We start from the raw sequence: 23,804 nt of genomic DNA, 5'->3' as shown, positions 1-23,804 counted from the left end.
TGTTTGTTTTTAAATTTGCAATGTAATAAAATGACATCTATAACTCAAATTGGCAATAACCAGAAATCTTAAGCATCTCATTGAAACTTGGAAGGTGACTGTTGATTTTTGCAAATGAAGTGTCAATGGTTTTTAGAATAAATGTGAATCTTAAGTCACCATGGGAACCTATCCACACTAATTCAGTTATATTAATATTGCTTACAGATTAAACCTGAACAATAAGTCAGCAATGTAGTCCTTCTTGGTATCACTTAGGATTAGAAGGAGGAGGTGAATAATAGTCCTTGAATAAGCCTACTTGAAGAAAGTATGACTGTTAGATGGTTAATCATAAAGCCTCCTGGCCTCTTCATTTCTTTTGCATTCTGTCTGTTGCAATTTAGCAGCATAAATTTGGTGTGAAGTAAGATTTAAAACAAACAAGTGGCTCAGTTATATTCCACCAAAGCTTGTCCTTGTTAGAAAGCTGCCCATTCTCATAGGATTTTATACCATATCCAGTCTGCTCAATATTGAATGATCTGTAACAACCCTGTAAGAACAGAACAGTATTTTCCTTTATAAATTAAAAAAAAATGGTGGTTCAGGGAAAAAAAAGAAGAAAAAAAAATAAAAAGGAAAGAGGTCCAGATTCAAGACTTAGGCCCAAGTCTTCAGACCTTCCAAAACATACCTCTAATGAAAATGTCCATGACATTTTGAATGACTTCTTGCAACTTCTTTTATTTATGTAACAGTTTCCTGAGCACCTGCTATTTGCAAGGCATAGCAGTAAGATGCACAACATCAATGACATCATGGAATTTACTCTCCGGCAGGGAGACCAACATTAAAACTAATCACATCGTTAGTAATTGATGTTACTACAGGGTATTTATCTAGTTCAGATTCAGGTAATGCTTCTGCAGGAGTGAGTTTCTAGATTTGAACATAAAAGATGAGAAGGCAATAAACAGACAAAAAGAGAATTAGTCTAGAATAATGGGGGGAAATGTCTAGAAAGGACTCTCTTGTATCAGGAAATTATCATGGAAGCCTATGTGACCAAGGTTACAGGAGTTGAAGCAATGGATCAAAGATTGGATAAAATTCTCCCTTCAGACTTCTGCAGAGAATTTGAGGCCTGTGAATCCTTACTGCATAAAACTTTCAGGTCAAATGAGATGGAGAGGAGCAGGGACTTCATGCATTCTTCTCTGACCCTAACCATATGAGTATCACAATGCATGGTAGCATTCTAAAATGCCTTTAAGAGAGAAGCCTGTTTAATATTCATTTTAGCAGTGAGCCCTAACTCACTTGCCTATAGAACCTTTCATTCTTCATAATTTTTGTTATAGTTCTGAGGATAAACTTTTTAAAGTACTAGACTAGATTATCCTGACAGGTCCATCCTAACTCTGAGGTCCTTTTGATTTGTAGTCAACTTTGTGCTCTCCTCCATTAGTGATGTTTTCTCAAATAAATCAGTATCTGAACACTTACTTCCCAAGTATAAATGACATTCAAACAAGTAATATTCAAAGAGAGCAAAGCACTCAAGATATGAAGTGGAATTCCACTGGAATAGGCAAGGAAGTACTGCCTATATAATCTACTTCTGTAGACTTCTAGAATGTTCTAAAAAAGGAAATGGAAAACAACATGGATAATCTTCAGTCTCATTTTTATTAGACTTTATGAAGTCTAAGAATTTTTTATTTATAGGAATTCAAGTTTTAGTTAAACTAACAATAAAGTAATAAATACCATCAAAATATATACTCTCTGATAACCAAAAGAAGGCTAACAGATCTAATTATGTGCTGGTTAGGCTTTGACATGTTCTTATCTATTGACTCTATAGTCATAGGTCAAAAATAGATTTATCTCTACTTGGTAAAGCCAGCATGTTTAAAAATATTCAACTCTTTCAACAATTGCTCTGAAATATGTAAAGAGAGAAAGAAATCTAAATTACCTAGACTTTATTATTGGTCCTAGATGGTTGTCACTCCCCTCAAATTTATACAGAAAAGTTTTATGAGTTTCAAATAATGCTCATGTTGCAAACTATGTGGTATCCCCTAGAACAGAATTTTTATTGGCAAGCCCCTTGAGCATTATCCTTCCACACTGCATCTCAAAAAAGGAAAAGAAAGAAAAACATAAAAACCCATGTTCTGCAACTTTAACAACCACTTGAAAGCACAGTTACTATGGAAAGAATATAAGACATGATCTGTGATCAAGGAGATTAAATCTGGTACAAGGGATGGGATCAGGATACAAAGCAGGAGTGTCACTTATGTCCTTGTGTACATGCCATAAGATAACACGGGTGGGCACAGGGCAAGTGCAGACAGAAAAATCGATGCTAAAAGCTTTGTAAAGAATCTGAATTTGAGTTGGGTCTTTGAAGTGTGTAGGAAAATAGATCATAGTTGGGCTAGAAACAACGTGGGTCTTATTGTGGATCATTTGGAAATTTGGCCTAAGGAGGTTTATTTTAATATAGGGAGCCAGCAGTAAGCCACTTAAGGCTTTGAGTAGAGAAGTCCTCAGTCTGACAAACTGGAATGGTTAGGTGAGATTAGCCACCCAGAGAAGAGCTAGGCTATGGAACTCAGGATTTATGTCCGATTACTGGAGCTCCCTACGAGCAGGTTCTGTAACGCACTGCCGTGTCTCCAGTGCGTGCGGCTCAGGTGCTCAAACAGTGGCCAACTGGAGGCAGTGTTGACAGTTCGACAAAGAATGAATGAGGCGCTGACCAAGTGGGTGGATGAGGAGTCTTTGGGCTCTCAGTTGTAGTCTGTGAACTACACTTTTAATCTTGGATTAATAACAAACCCAGCCTGAGGAGAGCCTTATACATTTTACTTATAGGGTGACTATTCAGAAGTCTAACATTGTGGCTCCTGTTTGGTGTCCTAAGAACTTCTTCTGAAGTATTTGAAAACGAGAACTCTACCAGCTGTGAACACTCAACTGTTCTAACCCAGAGGTGGCTCAAAACAAATAAATAAATATTGAAATCACAAGCTTTTGTAATACATTTTATCCTACCTTTTGATTGTATAAAGATCCCTAGATTAATAGCTCTTCCAATCCATTTCTCTGATTAAATTTTTTTTTAATTATAAGCTCTTTCTTGTGACAAATTCTTCTTTTATAAAGAGAAAGCCTGGCTTTGGCTTATAAAAACTGTATTTTTATGCCTCACAGTAAAGGAATCCAAAAGATAGATTACCATTTAGGTCTGATTTTGCTGTCTCTTTTGTGGCCATGAAATAGGACTTAAACTTTCTAAACAATTGGGTATTTTTTTTTCTTTTAAAAGCCAAGGAGTTCTATTTGAACCCTTTTGTATTTACTAGTTTGCAAATTTTATATTCCCTTGAAGTTGTTTATTTTCCCCAATGATCAAAATATTTAGTATTCTGCTCAGGGTAATGCAAGATAACTACTATAACTTGCACTTCAGCAAGGCATTTTTTATCATTTATATTCTTCTCTGGGTAGCATAGTTAAGTATTTAATGGATCAAAGTCAAGCAGAAGGAAGTGATGTCAGTATGAAAGTTCTGTTCTAGGATGAGTTATAATTCTGTCTTTTACTGGAATAAAGACATGTCGGATTCATCAAATTTACTGCTTTTAAGCTGAGAATTTTTTATCAAACAGTTGAAAATCCAAAAAATTAACACACCAGAGAAATGATAGAGAGGGGATAGAATTAGTAGAGCTACATATTTGATATGTCTTTCAAATTAACTCTTAAACCCATGTCTCTACCTTGTACAATAGTCCCCCTTTATCTGCAGTTTCACTTTCTGAAATTAAGTCTGTGGTCAACCTTGGTCTGAAAATAAGTGAGTACGGTACAATATAATATTTTGAGAGAAGAGAGACAGAGAGACCACATTCAAATAACTTTTATTACAGCATATTGTTATAATCATTCTATTTTATTACTTGTTAATCTCTTATTGTGCCTAATTGATAAATTAAACTTTATCATGTGTATGTATATGAGAAAAATACTGTATATAGGTTTTGGCACTATGTGCCATTTCAGACATCCACTGTGGGCCTTGGAACATATTCCCTGAGGATAAGGAGGGACTACTGTATATAAATTAAAGATCAGTTGTTGGTTGACTTTAACCACTAAATAGATGAGATTACTGTCACAACACAGGCAACTCTAAGCAATGTTATGAAAAGATGTACAAATAGGAGATCTTAATGTGTGATTGACTAAATTAGATCAGTATTGAGTGTCTCTTTCAGAGGACATAGACAAAAAGGGTAAGCCCAGAGGAGAGACTGGGATGATGAGGATGAGATCCTACTTGACTATCAGCTTCAGCAAGAGCCTTAAATATTAAGAGACATACCTGAAGGCCGTGATATAAAAGAAAAGCCTCTCTCCCACCTCTAGAGGAAAGAACTGGACCGATTTTAGGGAAATGCATTTGATCTTAAATTTCATCACAGCCAGAACTATAAAATATGAATGTATTAGTCGATGAATTTTCTCATTTAGAGAGATGATCCTACATGACTCTGGGGGTACAATAGAGAGGACTGTATGTGTATAGGTAGGAAGCTGAGCTAAGCTTCTGAAATCACTTACTTTCAAGCTCAACATACTTTGATAATCATTTATAGTGACTCACAATCAATTCCCTTTAAGACTTTCAAAGTCACAAATTGAAACAATGCTCATAATGAATTAAGCCAGTCTGTATGTGTGAACCAGGGTGAGCAGAGACATGAAGTAAGCAACAGTAAGATTTCACCTAATGAGGTTGAGACTTAAATAAAAGGGCATGATATTGGGGAGGAATAGAAAGGACCTAGTCTATAGCTAGGGAGTAATGGACTACGGGGGTTGATGGAAGGAGGTAATGATCAACCGATTTATCAAGACCAAATTCAAATGGAAATTCTGATAATCCTAGTCATCTTATGTAATTTTCTCATTTGAAGTCACAACATGGACTAACACTTTCTTTTTTTTTCTTTCCAAATGTGATAGGAAAGCAAAGATATCCTGTTAGTGGATCTAAACTCTGAAATCGACACCAATCAGAATTCTTTAAGAGAAAATCCATTCTTAACAAACGGCATCACCTCCTGTTCTCTTCCTCGACCAACGCCTCAGGCATCCTTCTTGCCTGAAAATGCCTTTTCTGCCAATCTCAACTTCTTTCCCACCCCTAATCCTGATCCTTTCCGTGACGATCCTTTCACACAGCCAGACCAATCGACACCTTCTTCGTTTGATTCTCTCAAATCTCCAGATCAGAAGAAAGAGAATTCGAGTAGCTCGTCTACTCCGCTGAGTAATGGGCCCCTGAATGGTGATGTTGACTACTTTGGTCAGCAATTTGACCAGATCTCTAACCGGACTGGCAAACAGGAAGCTCAGGCAGGCCCATGGCCCTTTTCAAGTTCGCAAACCCAGCCAGCAGTGAGAACTCAAAATGGGGTATCTGAAAGAGAACAGAACGGCTTCTCTGTCAAATCCTCCCCGAACCCTTTTGTGGGAAGCCCTCCCAAAGGACTGTCCATACAGAATGGCGTAAAGCAGGACTTGGAAAGCTCTGTCCAGTCCTCACCACATGACTCCATAGCCATTATCCCACCTCCACAAAGTACCAAACCAGGAAGAGGCAGAAGGACTGCTAAGGTGAATTGTCTTCTCCACATATCCATTAGCAGAGTGCATGTTCGGTACCAAAGGGTGGTGTGATGCAAGCTCTCTTTCCTGCTGCTCTCGTAGTTTCCTGTGTTGCTGTGAAATAGAAGGTGGGATAAGGCACTTTGGTTCTCCAGGAGTACTTTCCTCTAACTGCCACCGTTTTTAAGCTTCTCAGCAGTGTTTTTCACACCCTGCTTTCCGTGTGCATGTCTTGTCACTTATGATTAAACTAAACACAAGTTTTTCCATTTTTAATGCTGCTATGCTTCTATACCTCTGGTAAGTTTGATCATCGTGTTCTGGGTTGGGAGGGTGAGAGTTCTTGTGATTCCCTTTGTACTTCCCTGACACTAACACATGCCCTGCACACCCATCATGTTGCATCAGTGTCCATGGTGGTGGTATAAAATTCTCGAGCTTATCTCCTCTTTTAAATACTGAGTAAATACATAAGCTTTTTCTAAGCTTATGTATTTACTATTACCACTATGATCTCAGCTTTATTTAAGAGCAATTTAAAATGCAGTTCCCATAGGTGTCTTTTTTTACCTCTCCTAAGAATATACAGGCTTGCCTGGATTAAGACCCTATGATCTCTATGTAGACTGACTTAAAATCCAATGGAATGAACAAAAATATTTAGGATGCTTATTGGTAGTTGCCCCTTTTACACACTTGCTCCCCCAACTTCAAGCATTTAGCGATGAGACCAGACCAATGTGAGTGTGTAAAGGAATATAGTAGATTTCACTTTGCAAGTCCTAGGTAGTGTCAGACACTAAGACTCAGTAGTCCGTCCGTTGTAGGAATCTGTGTCTTTTTTTGGAGGACTCTTTTTCTGTAGTAGTAGTTGTTGTTGTTCATCTGTCAAGAAAAAAGTTTTCCTTTTTGTGGCTCTCAAATTGGGGTATAGGGTAGGAGACAAAATGAGGCTGTATTTCACTGTTAGTGAGTAACTAAGGCTTCTCCCTCCCTCCCTGTCCTGTCAGTCTTCAGCCAATGACTTGCTTGCATCAGACATCTTTGCTCCTCCCGTCTCAGAACCTTCAGGCCAGGCGTCACCCACAGGACAACCTACAGCCCTGCAGCCCAACCCTCTGGATCTCTTCAAAACAAGTGCTCCTGCCCCAGTGGGGCCCCTGGTGGGTCTAGGTAGGTGCCTAGAGATAAAATTAAGTATGACTCTTTTGCTTTTGCTCATAAAATGATGATGCATCGGAAGAGATTTCATACTCCCAGAGGGTTTTACAGCATAAGATTTGAGCATCCCAGGGAGCCCTTCTCCCACTTCTACTATACAACCCCACATCCATTTGATATTCTTGACTTGTAACTCACATTTGGCTCCTCGAGGCAGCATGAGACAAGAAATTCATTTTCAGTATTGTACTTACTTGAACCAACTGGTCATGGTTTCCTGAAAGACAATTGTAAGGGATTCTAAACTCAGACCAGCTTCAGTAGCAAAACAGGGTTGACATAAGAGAGGCTTGTCTGTCAACATGCATGTCTTCCATGTCTTTTGCCATAATAGATCGAAGGCCTATGTCCTTTCAACACATAGCCCTCTTAGAAGGAATATATGCCCAAGAAGGATGTAAGTTAAGTCTGAAGCAAGAATAAGTCATAGAGTGAAAGTCCTAGGTTCTGGGCCCAGCTGTGTTCCTAGGTGTATGGTAAGGGTAGATCAGGCACACATCCTGATCAGTCTCTGAGCACTTCTGCCATAGGAGCTCCTTGCCAATATTTTGGCTAGCTTGAGTGTTTTACTGAAGCTAGAACATAAGTCCTAGAAAGCCAAAGTTGAAAAAAGAGAGAAATAAGGGAAGAGATGGAATTTTATCAGACAGCTAGTATGCATTGACGCTCTTAATTCCTAAATGTGTCATTAGCTTGTGTGAGCCGCTGATCACTCTGTGGTAGGACAGTGGGAAAGTCCACTTGACTGAGGGCTGGCCTTGCTATTCTTAGTCCATAGCCTATAGTTCTTTTCAGACTCCATGGTACAGTTTTCAGAAACCCTGACAATAGTTTTTGCTGTCCTGCTATGGACTCTATTTTTCTTCTCTTGGCACCTCTACAAACTCCAAATGGACTCTGGCTTGGGAGGTGGAGGACTGTAGACGAGGAAGGACTCTCCTCTCCTTCGGTAAAATCTGACCAGGGATCCTGGCTTTCTCTGCCTCCTGCAGTCAGTCATCAGGATCCTTGTTTTGTTTTCCTCTCTGTCTCTGTTGTTTTCCTACAAAGGAAAATAGTTTGGTTCTTTTACAAGAAATCTGTTTAATCATATCTAGAATAGGGTGGCCAGAGGAGGACTGTTACTCAACTGCTGAGTGGCAGAAATCCGTGAGGGTATGAAAAGCCAGCTTGTCCCAGGTCTCTGCTCGCATTTACCCCATCAAGAGGCTCTCTCTAAAGACTTCATGTCTCTTGGGGGCTTCCCCCTTTCTGCGTTGCTCTTTTCCTTGCACCCCCAAGTGGAGCTGGTTGGTACCCTTCCCTCACAGAAGACCAGAGTGCTTGCAATGCAATGTCTGCAGCGAGATCACATCACAGAGCTTTTTATCTGATATCAATGCCCTTAAGAATTTTTGCAGCCAATATTTAACAAGTCAGCCTGAAAATACAGCTGGACCCTATAACTGTTTATTTATTCAGACGAAGTGAAGCTTTTTGGCTAGGTGCCCCTGTTGAGGGCTTGGGGTATACAACTGCAGAATACTGATGATTGTTCCAAGTTTGGACATGGGACTCAAACTGAGCTCTACAGTATAGTCCCTGTCCACTAGCAGGGATCCTCAGCCAAACCATGGAAGGTTGTAGGTCTGGCTTCCGCTAGACCCAGCTGGGGGACTGTCTCCCCTGGAGAACTGGGGGGGTGGGGAGAGGGTATTGTAGAAAGCTGAGCCCTCAGATTCAACTTGCTTGTATTTTAATCTAGCCTCAGAAGGTAATAAAATTAATGTTCTATACCCATGTCCCCTTTTTCCTTATTCCTTGCCCCTACTTTGTCAATGTGTTCAATGTGTTCAATGTGTTAAAACACAATGTGGGGATTTGGTGGGTAGGAATGAAGACTGGTATAAGTATATACTGGGAAAGCCTTGAATTCCTGGCAAATGTAATATTTTTCTCTCCTTTTTTTTTTTTTTTTTTTTTGAGACAGAGTCTCACTCTGTCACCCAGGCTGGAGTGCAGTGGTGCTGTCTCAGCTCACTGCAACCTCTGCCTCCCAAGTTTAAGTGCCTCAGCCTCTCTAGTAGCTGGGATTACAGGCATGCGCCACCACACCCAGCTAATTTTTGTATGTTAGTAGAGACAGGGTTTCGCCACGTTGGCCAGGTTGGTTCTGAACTCCTGGCCTCAAGTGGTCCTCCCACTTTGGCTTCCCAAAGTGCTGGGATTACAGGTGTAAGCCACTGCGCCCAGCCCTAATATTTTTCTCTTTTACAAATACCATTCTCACTAATATGATATTTTCCTAAATGAAGACAAGTTGTCCAACATGAAAGATGATAAAATTCTACCCTCCTTTTTGCACAGCTAACTGGTGGAAATTATTAGCAAGTGATCTGGCTTCTGTTAATACAATTTAATTGAATGTGTTTTAAAATACAAGCAACAACTTTGTTCAAACTAAACCCATTTTTAGAGCCTGTATTGTAGAATATAACTTTTCTCTTGATTTGTTATGAAAGGAGTATATTCTTCAGTGAAAATGAAGTCTAATTTCTGTATCCGTGAAATAAGTATTTGAATTAACATAGCATTTGAAAATTAAAATTGCCCCATGCCTTGCTGCCAAGGAAGCAGAACAGGAGAATGGGGTGCCGGATTTAGAGCCAGTGTGCCTGATTTTCAGTTTCTACCATCCCAGACTATGACCTTCCCAATTTTAATGAATATTCTTGCACCCAGTTTCCTCACCTCCAAAAAGCATGCTGATTAAGTGAAATGGCCTGTTCTGAAACCCACCACTCTCTGTGAGTACACCATGTGTGCCCATGGCCAGATGGCCAGCATGCATGATGAGAATGGAGTCAGGTAATACCAATGTCTCAGACTAAGAAGCTCGAAGATATAATCTTGTGCTCCATCACTCCTAAATACCATTTTCAAAGTATTCCCTCTTGGAAACATAAACGTCCCTAACCCAGGTCTGAAGAAAACTTTCATAACTAAAGAATGCCATGCACCAAAGCTCAAAGCAAGTAGATTTCAAGAGCGAAGCATCACCCACTAATAGATATGAGGCTGAATTTAGGTTTCCTTCTTAGCGGTGAGTTTAACTGAATCATTAATGCACTTGGAAAGAGGCAGGAAAGACAGTGCCCTGTATATTAGAACAAGATGCAGGGAGCGAGCCTCTCAAGAATCAGAGGCCATCATTGGAGAGGCCTGGATTCTGGCGATTTAACGAATTCCTGATGACATAGCAAGGTCGTAGGAGATGGAGCCATTCACCACAAAGATCAGATGCCCCAACACAGGCCATTAGTTACCTTGAAAGATTTTTGTTTCCCATTGTCCTCTCTCCTCTTTTAAATTCTCTGTTCTAACTTCTGGCAAGGTTTAGCAAATGGCACATGGCAGGAAGCACTTTTATTTGAAACAGTCTTCCTAGGATAACATCCTTTCTTCCATTTTTATATATAAACGTCTAAAACTATCTTGGCATTGGCCAAACTTTATCTTCCCTTTATGTATATAGCTGTATCAGTCTTGGCAGCAATAAAAAGTGAAGAAACTTTGAAATGGTTTCTTCAGGATGCAAGCATGTTGAGGTCTTGTGCACATGTGTGATTGCTGGTTTCCATAAGACTCCAGACGTGAGCCAGTTGCCAAATGAAAAGATCAAATCTGTGACTCAGAGAGTCCAATGGATTATCTTAATTAACTACATCATAATCAGCATGGTTCATGCATAAAAATATATTCACTTAAATAAGTTCCTGCTATTAACAGGCTCTGTTCTAGTTGTTTGAGATGTATCAGACAACTAGTGTCTGTATGATAAGGGCTTATTTTTTTGATGAGTAGATACTTATGGACCGTACTACCCTTCTAATCAGGAAAGTTAAAAAGACATGGTAGGAAGAACATGGGCCTCAAAATGCAACCAGCATTTGAATGCTCACTATACAGTGTTAGCTGGCTAACTTTTACAGTGATTAATCTGTCATATTCTTCCCATATCAGCCTCAGGGCTCAATGGAGGTGTTAGCTGTGGAGAGGCTTTCCAGAGAGTTGTGCTCTCTGAAATTCAAGAATCTTCTTCAAGCTTGACTCCTGATAAGTATTTTTCTTCCTCTTACTTCAGGTGGTGTAACTGTCACACTCCCTCAGGCAGGACCATGGAACACAGCATCTTTGGTCTTCAATCAGTCCCCTTCAATGGCTCCGGGAGCCATGATGGGTGGTCAACCTTCAGGTTTTAGTCAGCCCGTCATTTTTGGTACAAGTCCAGCTGTTTCAGGTTGGAACCAGCCTTCACCCTTTGCAGCCTCAACTCCCCCTCCAGTGCCTGTTGTCTGGGGCCCTTCTGCATCTGTGGCACCCAATGCTTGGTCAACAACAAGCCCTTTGGGGAATCCTTTTCAGAGCAATATTTTTCCAGCTCCTGCTGTGTCCACTCAGCCCCCATCCATGCACTCCTCTCTCCTGGTCACTCCTCCTCAGCCACCTCCCAGAGCTGGCCCTCCCAAGGACATCTCCAGTGATGCCTTCACTGCCTTAGACCCACTTGGGGATAAAGAGATCAAGGATGTGAAAGAAATGTTTAAGGATTTCCAACTGCGGCAGCCACCTGCTGTGCCCGCGCGGAAGGGAGAGCAGACTTCTTCTGGGACTTTGAGTGCCTTTGCCAGTTATTTCAACAGCAAGGTTGGCATTCCTCAGGAGAATGCAGACCATGATGACTTTGATGCTAATCAACTATTGAACAAGATCAATGGTAAGCCACTCACCACTCTGCCTACTGTTCCAACAACTATCTCCACTGCCACATGGACCTAAATGAGTTCCCCAAATGAACCCTCTCCCACCCGCCAACAGCTTTGCTCTTGCTTCTGTTGGTAATCAAGGGTTACGGAGACAACTTAACCATTTACCTTTTGGTGATAACTATTTACCTTAGTCATTTCTGAGGACTGACCCAATGCTGCCCTCTAGTGATAAATCTTAAAAGGGCTGCCATGAGCTATTGAAATGTGATGACTGGTGACTCTTGGAGGGCTGTGTAATAAGGCGTCATCCATGTCCCATCAGCTTAAAATGAGGGGATTCTGAATCTCTTCCACTTCAGATAAATATGCATGGCTTTCTCTTCCGAGAAGGATAATAATTATTGGGGTACCTAGTATTTGGTGTTGATTTTTGTTCCACTGATGTAAATTTCAAAAGTATAGAACTAAACTTCAAAAATAAGCTGACTCGGGGACTGGCCTATATTTGGGGAAAGCTTGTCTACTGATTGCCTGGATTTTTTACCTTCTAGAACCACCAAAGCCAGCTCCCAGACAAGTTTCCCTGCCAGTTACCAAATCTACTGACAATGCATTTGAGAACCCTTTCTTTAAAGATTCTTTTGGTTCATCACAAGCCTCTGTAAGTATGAACTACTAGAAGCTCTTCTCCAAAGTACATGCCACATAGAGCTCCAGCCTCCTGAATTAACCTTGCTTTTATAATAGCTTTTATTTATTTATTTATTTTTTTAAGACAGAGTCTTGCTCTGTCGGCCAGGCTGGAGTGCAGTGGTGCAATCTCAGCTCACTGCAACCTCCACTTCCTGAGTTCAAAGGATTCTCCTGCCTCAGCCTCCTGAGTAGGTGGGACTATAGGCACGTGCCACCACACCTGGCTAATTTTTGTATTTTTTTGTAGAGATGGGGTCTCGCCATGTTGGCCAGACTGGTCTCAAACTCCTGACCTTAAGTGATCCATCTGCCTTGGCCTCCCTCAGTGCTGGGATTACAGTCATGAGCCACCGCACCTGGCTATAATAGCTTTTTGATGGTAAAACATGTTTAGCTAAGATTTGTCACCAAGAACCTTCACAGTATAAACATTCATTTAAACTGGAGAAAGATTATTTGCACAAGAACTATTATCTTCTGAATTTGAGAAATAATATCACATAGAAAACATCCTTCATATCTCACTTAACCTGACCCATGAAAGCATTTCGGGAGAAAATTGAGCCAAAATACTGTCTTGAAAACCTTTCAAAAATTTAAGTTCTTAATTTTCCAACAATATTTCTATAGCCTGTGAAAATAATACTTCCCATTTCGGGGAGGCAAATGAAATGCATCTGAACCTTGATTTTCACATAAATAATATACACTGCCATCTGCAAGCAGATGAAAACAAAACACTGTAAGCCCCATATAATGTTTGATTGGCTGATTGGCCTATGACCTAAGCGATTTTTAAAAGAATTTTGGAAGTCTTCATTGCGATTTTTTTCTTATGACTGTAACTGTATTTATTGACTAGATGATTTTATCTTCTTAGGTGGCTTCTTCTCAACCTGTATCTTCTGAGATGTATAGGGATCCATTTGGAAATCCTTTTGCCTAAATTCTGTAAGTAGAAGATCCTAATAAGCCTGTCTCAGGGGTTTTTGTGAGAAAGGGTGACATGGAATAAAGAGTGAAATTTTAATTTTAGAATTGGGAAGAGGGTAAATATCTATAATTTAGGAGTAATCGACAGGAAAATCTCTACTGAGATCATTCAATAATGACTAGGCTGGGCACTTAAGAATAGAATTCCTAAACACATCAAAAAATAGTAATATACCCTTGGGGATGTGGATTTTTATCTTATTCCATGTTCTTGGTTTTTCAGTTCTGTGTGGGAAGTAAAACTCAAAACAACACATCACAGGTTTCTAACCTTTTTACTTTCATATTGAAGTGGTTGCAAAACAACCTAGTAATAATTTGGTTTCCTATAAAGGGTTCAGATTCCATTGACTTTCTGAAGCCACCAAGTCAGCAAAACAGATTATGATCATTACTTCTCTACCATTTAACTGTGAGCAATCTCAAAGTTAGTCTGAAAGAGTCTGATGGTATTAAATCTGAAAGTTTTAACAACTATTAAAGATCTCCTTCATAGGCAGTAGGAGCTCAAAATGAGTCTGAAGGTTGATTCTTCTGTCTCATGAACTTTATCTTAGATAAGTGATTAGGTAGAATCACCCTCAGCTGAAATCCTGGGAGGGCTCAGTGTAACTCTTTCTCTACAGAAGGTGACAGCAACTTTATTCTGATCTCAAAAGACTGAATTTAGTAGGGAAAGGAACGCTCTCCCCATTTTAGAGCAGGTAGGCCAGCTGGTAGGGGTAGAACAATAGAAATAATGAAAAACAACAACAACAACAACAAAAACCAAGCCCATTTTTTTTCCAATCTTGTCTCATCCAAACAGGACTACTAAACTGTGATTTGGCTCATCTAGAATGTAATTATTTTTAATAGATAGATATCTTAAACGTGGCGAAAACAATAAGATTGAGCTTATAGGCATCTGGATCATTTTCCCTCAACTCCAGTTCTACAATGACTGTGTTTCCTGTAGTACCTTTCCATAAACTGCTTCAGAGAACTGGGTAAATCATTAAAAATGCAAATTCCTGGGTCCTACTGCAGCCCTAAGGAATTTCTCTTTGGTGCCAAGGAAATGCTTCCTTTTAACAAGAGTGCAGGTGATTCTAAAGGTAATAAAGCAGTAAGTAGATATTTAAGAGCTAGAAGTCTTACCAGAGATCATTCTCACCTTCCATTCAAGGGGAGATATACCCAAACCAATAGAAGGAGTAAACTACACTCAGAGTCAAGATGGATTGTATGGACTAAATTGAATGAACTAGACTTCTCTTTGGAGGTCCTTCCTTCTTTAGGTCATGAAGGAAGGATAGTTTAGGTCAACCTGCTACATCAATAGATTGGGTAAGGGGAACTCTCATGGGATAAAATAACTAACATTGTTGAGCACTTGCGCTAAGCATTTTATTAGATGCTCTACATTTATCATCTTCATCAATCCTCACATCAGCCCTAGGAGATACTATTACTGACATCTTTAATAATGACTTGATATTTAATACATTGATATTCAGTTCAAAAATTCTAACCACAAGTTTCTTTCTTCTCCATACCTCTCTAGGAACTTGGTCTGCAGACCATCCAGAGGAATAAAAAGGTTGGCCTTAGTAGTCAAAAACAAAGCTGATAGCCAGACACGTTCTGATTTCTGCCCTTGTTCCAGCTTTGACGTATTATCTGTTGCCTTATTTCTCATTGCCTCTTCTACTTGTAAAATGCTTTTCACTTTCTGTCTAGGTTAAAGCTAAACTGAATCTATGGCTTTAAATAAATTAAGATCCTAAACTCTCTAGCTTAAGTGTAAATGAAGTACAGTAGTTTCCCTACTGAACCCTGCCTCTTGTGTCCCTGGAACCTTCTAGAACACCTGCCTTCTACCCTCTGGTTGGGAGATGCAGCCACCACATCCCTTCATATCATACTGTTTTGAATAAATTTTCAAATCCTTATTGTTCAGAGTTGTTTGGGGGTTCTGTTTCAGAGCATAAAACCTAAAGGTTATAGTAGAACAAGGCACCTTCTTAAAAGAAATCTTGCTTCAGACCATCAGTTACAGAGAATTTCTAAAGTAAAATTGAAGCAACTACAACTTCTCCTTAGACACTTTGGAATCTAACCACTTAAGGACCTTTTTAAAGAGATAGCTTCTCTTCTTTCTGAAGATCAATTTCTCCCAAGGCCAAGATTGTCCTTTTCTCCCATTTCTTGCTAGCTATTGCAAATGAGGGAAGAACATTATTCATCTCTCCTCCCCTTTTTTTTCTGATTCTTTTTTCAGTCAGTTTTGCTCCTGGGTTCAAGTAGTATTACCACCCTTTCACAAGCAACAGACTCTCACAGGGCAAAAAAAAAAAAAAATCTAATGATTCACAGACAGATCTGGAGCCTCTCTTCATTCTCAGTAATTGCTAGTCCCAAGAACTAGAATTGCAAATGGGCACAACCTATATCCTTCCTGTGGAAGAGGAGGCCACTCTCTTGAGCTGAAGTTCCAGAAGAGCAGTTAATGTTCAAGAGAAATTGAACTCAACTCAGCAACAAAGGACTCTATTTTGAAGAGCAACATATCACAAAGCTAAATGTGATTGTGCCAAACACATTAGGTGCTTATTTGGGGTCATGCTAGGCCTTTATCAAGTAACTGGAAAACTTTTCTTGCAGCCACAATCTCAATGTCGTTAGTAGGAAGATAAGAGGGGAGAAAAAGCTGTAGAACAAATGTTTGGGGTTACCATTGAAAATCTAATGTCTGCAATATTTTTCTCCTCACAACTTGGAAACGTTCCCAGTTCATTTTCAGTCCTGTTGTGAGCACAGTTCTGAAGGGTTTATTATTGTCAAAATAAGTTTTGTTTTGTTTTGTTTATGTTGGGTTTTTAATGTTGTCTCTTGACCCTTAATGCTCAGGTTCTTGTGGGAGTTAATCAGCCACATCCAATGTTACCTTGAGGGGGAAGAAGAGGGTGATGCTCAGAAGCTAAACAAGACAGGGGCCACATGACCCTCTATTGATTAGCCCCAAGTAGAAAGTCCTGTGGTTTTATGTTTAATGGTAATAGTTGATCATATATGGCATAATTTTCTATCAGCTTCCTACTCAGTCACTATAAACACAGACTTGAAATAGTACTTTAAATGTCCAAATACCTAAATGTGCTAAACTGGAGGTAACTATTTCTAGGTAGTTGAATTTTTGAAAGTCATGATCAGCCACACAACTGTTTTGTACATACTTATTTTCTCATGCACTTTTCTGTATGCAAATAAAGCTATAAATTTACTCATTTCAATAAACTGGAGTGGCAGAATATCATGTGGTACCATCGGTTTATTCTACCTGCTTTGAGTTGACATTAGAGGCAAGCTATAAAACATACCAGTCTGAAGTGGAGAAAATGTTAGCTATAATAGATTCTGGATTGTCACAACAGTGAAGAGAAAGTGGAAATCCATGAAATAGGACCGTGAGTAAATTACCGTCTGATCTATTTCACACCTTCTTCTGTCTCAAACCCACACACACTCCCTTTCCGGGAGTGTAAGGAAGACTAGTAGATAAGACCTGTACCAGAACAACCTCAGCTGACATCCACTATAAAATCACTCATTAGTGCACTATTGGTTCATGCCTTTTACCCTTGGCTGCCTCTTGTTTTTTACTCAGTCATATTTGACCTCACCAAGACACGACTGTGTGGACTGCTCTAGGCTGGCACAGGCCCCTCTGGAGAGCTGTTGCATGAGGTGAGTGGGCTGATGAACAGATGTTTTTAGCATTAGGGCGCTCTTAAACTGTCTCACCTAGTATAAAAGTTCAAGGTTCTCATTCACTGCAAAAAGACCTGCAACTACAAGAAAGAGAATCCCAAGGTGGGCTTTGCATGGATATAGAAGTCTTGGTATTAAACCTAACTTTTCTAAGGAATAAGACATTTTGGGGTAGGATTATCTATTGGTGTATAATATTTTGGAATGTTCCTTATTACTGCCTTACCTTTCTCCTTGACTGAAACATTTGGTCTCTTTCTAACAATAGTGAGGTGGAATAGAAATACACTCCATACAAAAGCAGGTTCCAGGGGAATTGAAAGTAAGCCACAGATGAGCTAGAGAAGGCTGCTGATAAGAATATGTTGCACAAATTATCTGGCTTATCCAGGTGCTCTGCCGTGCGTCTAACCCGTTGAGCCTGTGTGTTATCTCCACGTGACTTAATCTGTGAGATCTTGCCACAGGTTAACTTGCTCGTGTGTACAAGAGGCGGACATTCCTTTCAGTGCAGTCGGAACTACTGTTGATCAAGCAGAGAGTGGCAGTTACTGAAGTGTCCCTGCAAAGTGGAAACACACCTGTTCCTTATACAGTTGGCTCTCCTAACCTCAGATTTCGCATCTGCAGATTCAACCAGCCACAGATGGAAAATATGTGAATAGAAAATAAAATAAAAATAATGCAGCAATTAAAATAATACAAATAAAAACAATACAGTATAACAACTATTTACACAGCATTTATATTATATTAGTTATTATAAGTAATCTGTAAATAATTTAAAGTGTATGAGAGAATGTACATAGGTTATATGCCATTTTATATAACGGACTTGAGTATCCGCAGATTTTGGTATCTGCAGGAATTAATCCTCCACAGATACCAAGGGACAACTGTAATTTCTTTAATAAGCAGTGGTATTCACACCTGTGTGCCAGAAGTTCAGCTTTTCATGGTAACCCTATTATCTTGGAAAGAGAGTTCCTTTACATATCAAATATATCTAAGCTAAAAGCTGAACTTTAACAGCCAGCATGCCCTTAAATTTCTCACATAAAAGGGAGAAGGTATAGACTTTCCCAAAATAACCTTGCATCTGTGAAGTACTTTACCATTTATGCAAAATAACTTTATTCCATTGATGCCATTCATAACCCTTTGAGGAGGGATCTGTTACTGTTGCAAGTCTTACTCAGGCAAGACTGGCATCCATGCTTTAAAAAAAGCTGCACTCTACCCCAACTCTTAAGGGAGTGTTTTTCATGGTATTTTATTACAAAACTGTGTGTTGAAGTAGAGAGATCCTTTCATCAATTGATCTCAGACTTTACCATCAAAATATTAACTGTGGTGTCTAGAGAGAGCCAAACAGAGGGTAATTTTGTGTCTTTCCTGAGGTGGAAGGAAAAGAAAAGGGGGGAAGGAACAGAGGATGTAGCTAACCCAGGAGTGTGGTTGACCGTGGAATAACCTGATGAGTGAGGACTCTGACCCATATTCCCGGAATACGTTTAATACAAAATCTGGGAAAAGATGGGAGCTGCCCCAAAGCCCCTGGTAAATATTTAAGCTATTACGATTTGAGGAGGTTGCTAAACAATAAAACAAATAATTATTGCTGGGAAATGGTATGTTTTGAACTAATTCCCTTCTGCTAAAAATAAAAACTCATGTTCTAGGCTGATATGTACAATATCAGCCTAGGGACATATACAAGGCTATGTACTGGCAGCAGCTCTGTTAACATGTTGTAATTACAGCAACGCTGATGGACAAGGGCCAGCCATTTGTCATCTCACCTGATGAGTGGCCAAGCCCCTCATTTGCCCTTGCTTGGAATTGTGTCCTGCATTTAATTACTAAACCTCTACCACATACTGAAATCATACAAGTGCTTGTCTCCAGCAAGACCATGGTGTGGGCTGCTCAGTGGCAAAGAAGCTGGCCTTCTGCAGAGATGAAAGATGAGGTTGTTAAAAATGGAAGGGAAAAAAAAACCCAACTCTGAAATTCTTTATGACTAATTTTTCCTTGTGATATTGGTTGTGGAGTTTTCTGTCAATTCTTTATTCACTTGGTTGATTTCAACCATTATTTTATCTTACTTACAAGAAAGCAGAATCATTGCTGCTCTAAAAGTTACAGGGTAACATGACTGGGCTGGAATTGAGTAGAGGATGCTTCTCGGGTGTGTCTGATGCTGCCTCCTTAGTGGAAGCTCTAAAATTTCACTGTGGCATTGCAAGACCTGTGGATCTTTGGACAGTCAGTAAGAAACAGCTATGGAATGGGGCAGGCATTCCTAATGAGATCCCTGGATACTAAGATCCCTTAACTTACTGCTAAGGGACTTTCAAGAAACTGTTTCCTTCACTATAAAAGAGTCAAATGGAAATGACCCTCAACATATTTATATCAAATCAGTAAAAATTAAGTGTTTCTGCCTGCTGGTCAAAGTTTTAATGTACATATGTCTATGTTTGCCTTAAAAACTGGGAAAAGTATTATTAAGCAAAAAACTTAGTTCACTATCACAAAGTTCCCAAGAAAATTGAAACTAAGAAGGGAACAAAGGGCAACTGAATGGCGAAAACCCTCAGCAGAGTGGAAAACCCTGGAATCAGAGTTTAAAGACATGGTTTGTTCAAATCTCACCCCTGCCTCTTCTGTGTAGCCTTGCAGGTATTTCTCTGAGCCTCATCTGTGAGACTAGAATAAAAGCTTACCTTCTATGGAGTTGACAGGACTCAGTAACGAATTTTATAGTAAAGTACCCTATAAGCAACATGACGTACTTAAAATAATAACAATAGTAGTAATAGCAAGGTAGGAAAAGCCTGAGATGTGGAGCCAGACATAGCAAGTACAAATGTGCAGTTACTCGTCCCTGGCTGACGCTGGACAAATGATGTAATCTCAATGTGTCTCCATTTCCTCAGCTGTAAAACAGATTATTTTCAGGATTAAATGAGATTGCATATATAAATATGGCCTGACACATATTAGAAGTTCAATAAACATTTATTTTGTTATTTGGAAGCCTTTAAGTGTTATACAAATGAAAATGTTACTATTTTCACTGCTCTAGTCTAATGCATGATGATGCTTTATTTCTCTGACATACACACAGAAACATAAGCCTCATTTCAAAACACCTCAGACACATGATAGATGTTAAGGACAAGAAAGAGTTAAAAGCATAAAAATGTGGAGCATATTATTCATATATTTTATATATTTATATAATATTTATGATTTTATATTATAATTATGCATTATATGTAATATATAATTACATATATTATAATTATATAATTATAATATGTAATATATAATATAATTTGGCTCTGTGTCCTCACTCAAATCTCATCTCGAATTGTAATCCCCACATGTTGAGGGAGGGACGTGCTAGGAGGTGATGGGATCATGGGGACGGTTTCCCCTGTACTGTTCTTGTGATAGTGAGTGAATTATGAGAGCTAATGGTTTGTTTGTTTGTTTTTGAAACAAAATCTCGCTCTTGTCCCCCAGGCTGGAGTGGGACAGAGCGATCTCAGCTCACTGCAACCTCTGCCTCCTGGGTTCAAGCAATTCTCCTGTCTCAGCCTCCCAAGTAGCTGAGATTACAGGCGCCTGCCACCACGCCCAGCTAATTTTTGTATTTTTAGTAGAGATGGGGGGTTTCACCATGTTGGCCAGGCTGGTCTCGAACTCCTGACCTCAGATGATTCGCCAGCCTCGGCCTCCCAAAGTGCTGGGATTACAGGCGTGAGCCACCACGCCCAGCCAGCTAATGGTTTTAAAGTGTGGCACTTCCTCACTCTTGCTCTCTCCTAATGCCATTTACGAAGTGCCTTGCTTTCCTTTCACCTTCCACCATGATTATAAGTTTCCTGAGGCATCCCTAGCCATGCAGAACTATGAGTCAATTCAACCACTTTTGTTTGTAAATTACCCAGTCTCAGGTGGTATCTTTTTTTTTTTTTTTGAGACGGAGTTCCACTCTATCGCCTGGGCTAGAGTACAGTGGTGCAATCACGGCTCACTGCAACCTCCGACTCTAGATTCAAGCAATTCTCTTGCCTCAGCCTCCCAAGCAGCTGGGATTAGAGTCACCCGCCACCATGCCTGGCTAATTTTTTTGTATTTTTATAGAGATGGGGTTTCACCATGTTGGCCAGGCTGGTCTTGAACACCTGACCTCAGGTGATCTGCCCTCCTGGGCCTCCCAAAGGGCTGGGATTACAGGGGTGAGCCACCGTGCCAGCCAGGTAGTATCTTTGTAGCAGTGTGAAAATGGACTAATACAATATATATTGCCAATATATAATTAATATGCTATTAGTATACTTTACTGCTGTCATTATTTTTCTACATTATATTTAACCTGAACTATGGTGATAAAATAAATACAACTGAGCAATTCAGAAAAGCCTCCTATTCAAACTAGTCAGCCAAAAATATCCCCTCACTCCCTCATCCCCCTTCCATTGATTTAGTCTCCAAAGAGACAGGTGATGTACAATCTCCAGTCACATCAACTTATCAAGTCTAATCATCACAACTTCTAATCAATTAGCATCAAATCTAGTTAGTATAAAGCATCCCATCCTGACTGCTTTTCAGTCTTTATTTCCATAAGTATCTTGATAGGGTCCAGAGAGGCCTCATAAGAGCCCTCAACATTGCTACAGCATTTTTCTTTTTGTGAGACAGAGTCTCACTCTGTTGTCCAGGCTGGAGTGCAGTGGTGCCATCTTGGCTTACTGCAAACTTTGCCTCCCAGGATCAAGCAATTTTCATGTTTCAGCCTCCCAAGTAGCTGGGATTACAGGCACACACCACCCCACCCACCTAATTTTTGTATTTTTAGTAGAGATGAAGTTTCACCATGTTGGCCAGGCTGGTCTCAAACTCCTGGCCTCAAGTGATCCACCCACCTCTGCCTCCCAAAGTGCTGGGATTATAGGCGTGCGCCACTGCACCTGCCCTGCTACAGCATATTTGACAGATTCATACTGTTTCCAAATGTAGCCCACCTGTTATTAGCCAAGACTCACAGGAAGTGTCTTTCAGGCATGGACTCATCCCATGACATAGTTACACGAGTTGTGGCATCCATTCGAATCATCTTATTACTTGGCAGTTCTGCATGGCCTACACTCCACAGCAAGCTCAGGAAAAGGTGAGATCAGTCCCATTGAAGACCTCAAGTTCTCTGCATAAAAAGGAGAGGGGCCAAGAAAGTGGGTGAGAGTAGATACCTTTTACCACAGGTAGGAATATCAGTAGAAAAGGTAAGGCAGTACTGGAGAAAATAGCTGTATATTCTGTCTTCCCTCAGCTCCACCCCTTGCTTTGCTGGTCTTTATATGTGCTAATGTTTGAAATTTGCCTATAAGTAATAATAATACTTATAAAGTCCCTTTAAGAACTATATCCAGAGATATCTGATGTCTTTCTTCTCAAGGTGGTCATCCTCAGTCTCAACCCTGGCTACACGTTAGAATGATCCGCAAAGCTTTTAAAAGCATGGATGCAGGGTCTCATCACAAGTCAATTAACTTAGAGCTGAGCAGACAGCGGGCAGCCATCACTACTGTTCTCAAGAGTCCCCAGGTCATTCTATTTTTGCAGTCAGTGCTTTAAGAGCAGTTGTGATGTCCACATTCTCTGGTGTTCCCAAAAAGGCACTGCTCTTCCCACAAGTGCTGGGAAGCATGAAATGTGAGGGGGAGACTATTTTTCATGGGTAGGAACAAGTTTTTCTGTCTCAGATTCTATCTTGTTGACATGTGTGATGCTGAGATAAGGAGACCACTCTTTCTGGTGGACGCCCTTAATGCCTTCGGGAGTTTACATCTCATTCTTCAAAATGTACCACTCGGCCTATAAGGAAAGCCAGGATTGTAAATGCATTTGCTCACGTGGAAATAACCTACCTAGCCCATTTGCAGATTAAAAAAAAAATGAAGCATCTACGTCTGTGCCATCCTTTCCACTAAGTGCAGTTCTTTACTAACTTTGACTTCATGCCTCCATGAGAAGCATCCACAGGCTTTTTTTTCCCCAAAATTGCATACTCCCTCATCTTCCACCCAACCCCTCGAGTCTTGCAAACTAAGAACTGCTGGGGGTCCTTCATTTTTGTTTCTATTTTTTTGTTTTTGTTTTTGTTTTTGTTTTGTTTTGCCGGAATTTTGCTCTTGTTGCCCAGGCTGGAGTTCAGTGGCCCCACCTCGGCTCACCGCAACCTCCGCCTCCCAGATTCAAGCAATTCTCCTGCCTCAGCCTCCAAAGTAGCTGGGATTACAGGCACCCACCACCATGCCTGGCTAATTTTTTGTATTTTTAGTAGAGATGGGGTTTCACCATGTTGGCCAGGCTGGTCTCGAACTCCTGACGTCAGGTAATCCACCCACCTCAGCCTCCCAACATGCTGTGATTACAGGCGTGAGCCACTGCGCCCGGCCTTTGTTTCCATTTTCACACAGCACTGCTGCCCATCTTAGGGACTTTAGCATTCACAGGCCCATTGCCCCATATCTACTTGTCAATATGAGAAAGCAGGAGGCCAAGAATTACAAAATGATTCTCCTTTGGTTGGACTTCAGTACCCAGGCCACCCAAATTGACAAAAACTCTGAATGCAGACAAACAATGCTTGTTCCCTGTCCTCTGGCCCTTTGCAAATAAATGCCTTACCAGACCTGCCCTGCC

General features: G+C 40.2%; 1 protein-coding gene across 2 annotated transcripts in view, besides 2 other annotated features; it reads left to right on the top strand.

Moving 5' to 3' along the window:
* The window catches only part of DAB2 (DAB adaptor protein 2), a 53,304-nt gene extending 36,681 nt beyond the window's left edge, over nucleotides 1-16,623 (top strand). For both annotated transcript variants that reach the window (NM_001244871.2, NM_001343.4), the window contains 6 exons: nucleotides 5,029-5,682; nucleotides 6,684-6,846; nucleotides 11,018-11,650; nucleotides 12,194-12,303; nucleotides 13,216-13,286; nucleotides 14,875-16,623. In NM_001244871.2, coding sequence (NP_001231800.1) covers nucleotides 5,029-5,682; nucleotides 6,684-6,846; nucleotides 11,018-11,650; nucleotides 12,194-12,303; nucleotides 13,216-13,281 — 1,626 coding nt within the window. In that variant the 3' untranslated portion in view covers nucleotides 13,282-13,286; nucleotides 14,875-16,623. The remainder of the gene's footprint in view (nucleotides 1-5,028; nucleotides 5,683-6,683; nucleotides 6,847-11,017; nucleotides 11,651-12,193; nucleotides 12,304-13,215; nucleotides 13,287-14,874) is intronic.
* Nucleotides 4,890-6,089: an enhancer, noted in NCBI's record as "BRD4-independent group 4 enhancer chr5:39382313-39383512 (GRCh37/hg19 assembly coordinates)". NCBI's record gives its function as "activates an origin of replication core promoter dependent on BRD2, P300/CBP, MED14 and CDK7 cofactors, and independent of BRD4, by STARR-seq in HCT116 cells {active_cell/tissue: HCT116}" and the evidence as "EXISTENCE:reporter gene assay evidence [ECO:0000049][PMID:35650434]".
* Nucleotides 6,366-7,565: an enhancer, noted in NCBI's record as "BRD4-independent group 4 enhancer chr5:39380837-39382036 (GRCh37/hg19 assembly coordinates)". NCBI's record gives its function as "activates an origin of replication core promoter dependent on BRD2, P300/CBP, MED14 and CDK7 cofactors, and independent of BRD4, by STARR-seq in HCT116 cells {active_cell/tissue: HCT116}" and the evidence as "EXISTENCE:reporter gene assay evidence [ECO:0000049][PMID:35650434]".

The sequence above is a fragment of the Homo sapiens genome, chromosome 5 (assembly GCF_000001405.40).
Source record: "Homo sapiens chromosome 5, GRCh38.p14 Primary Assembly".
Lineage (NCBI taxonomy): Eukaryota > Metazoa > Chordata > Mammalia > Primates > Hominidae > Homo > Homo sapiens.
Note: the sequence above shows the minus strand (reverse complement) of the source record. Positions and strands in the feature narration are given on the sequence as shown.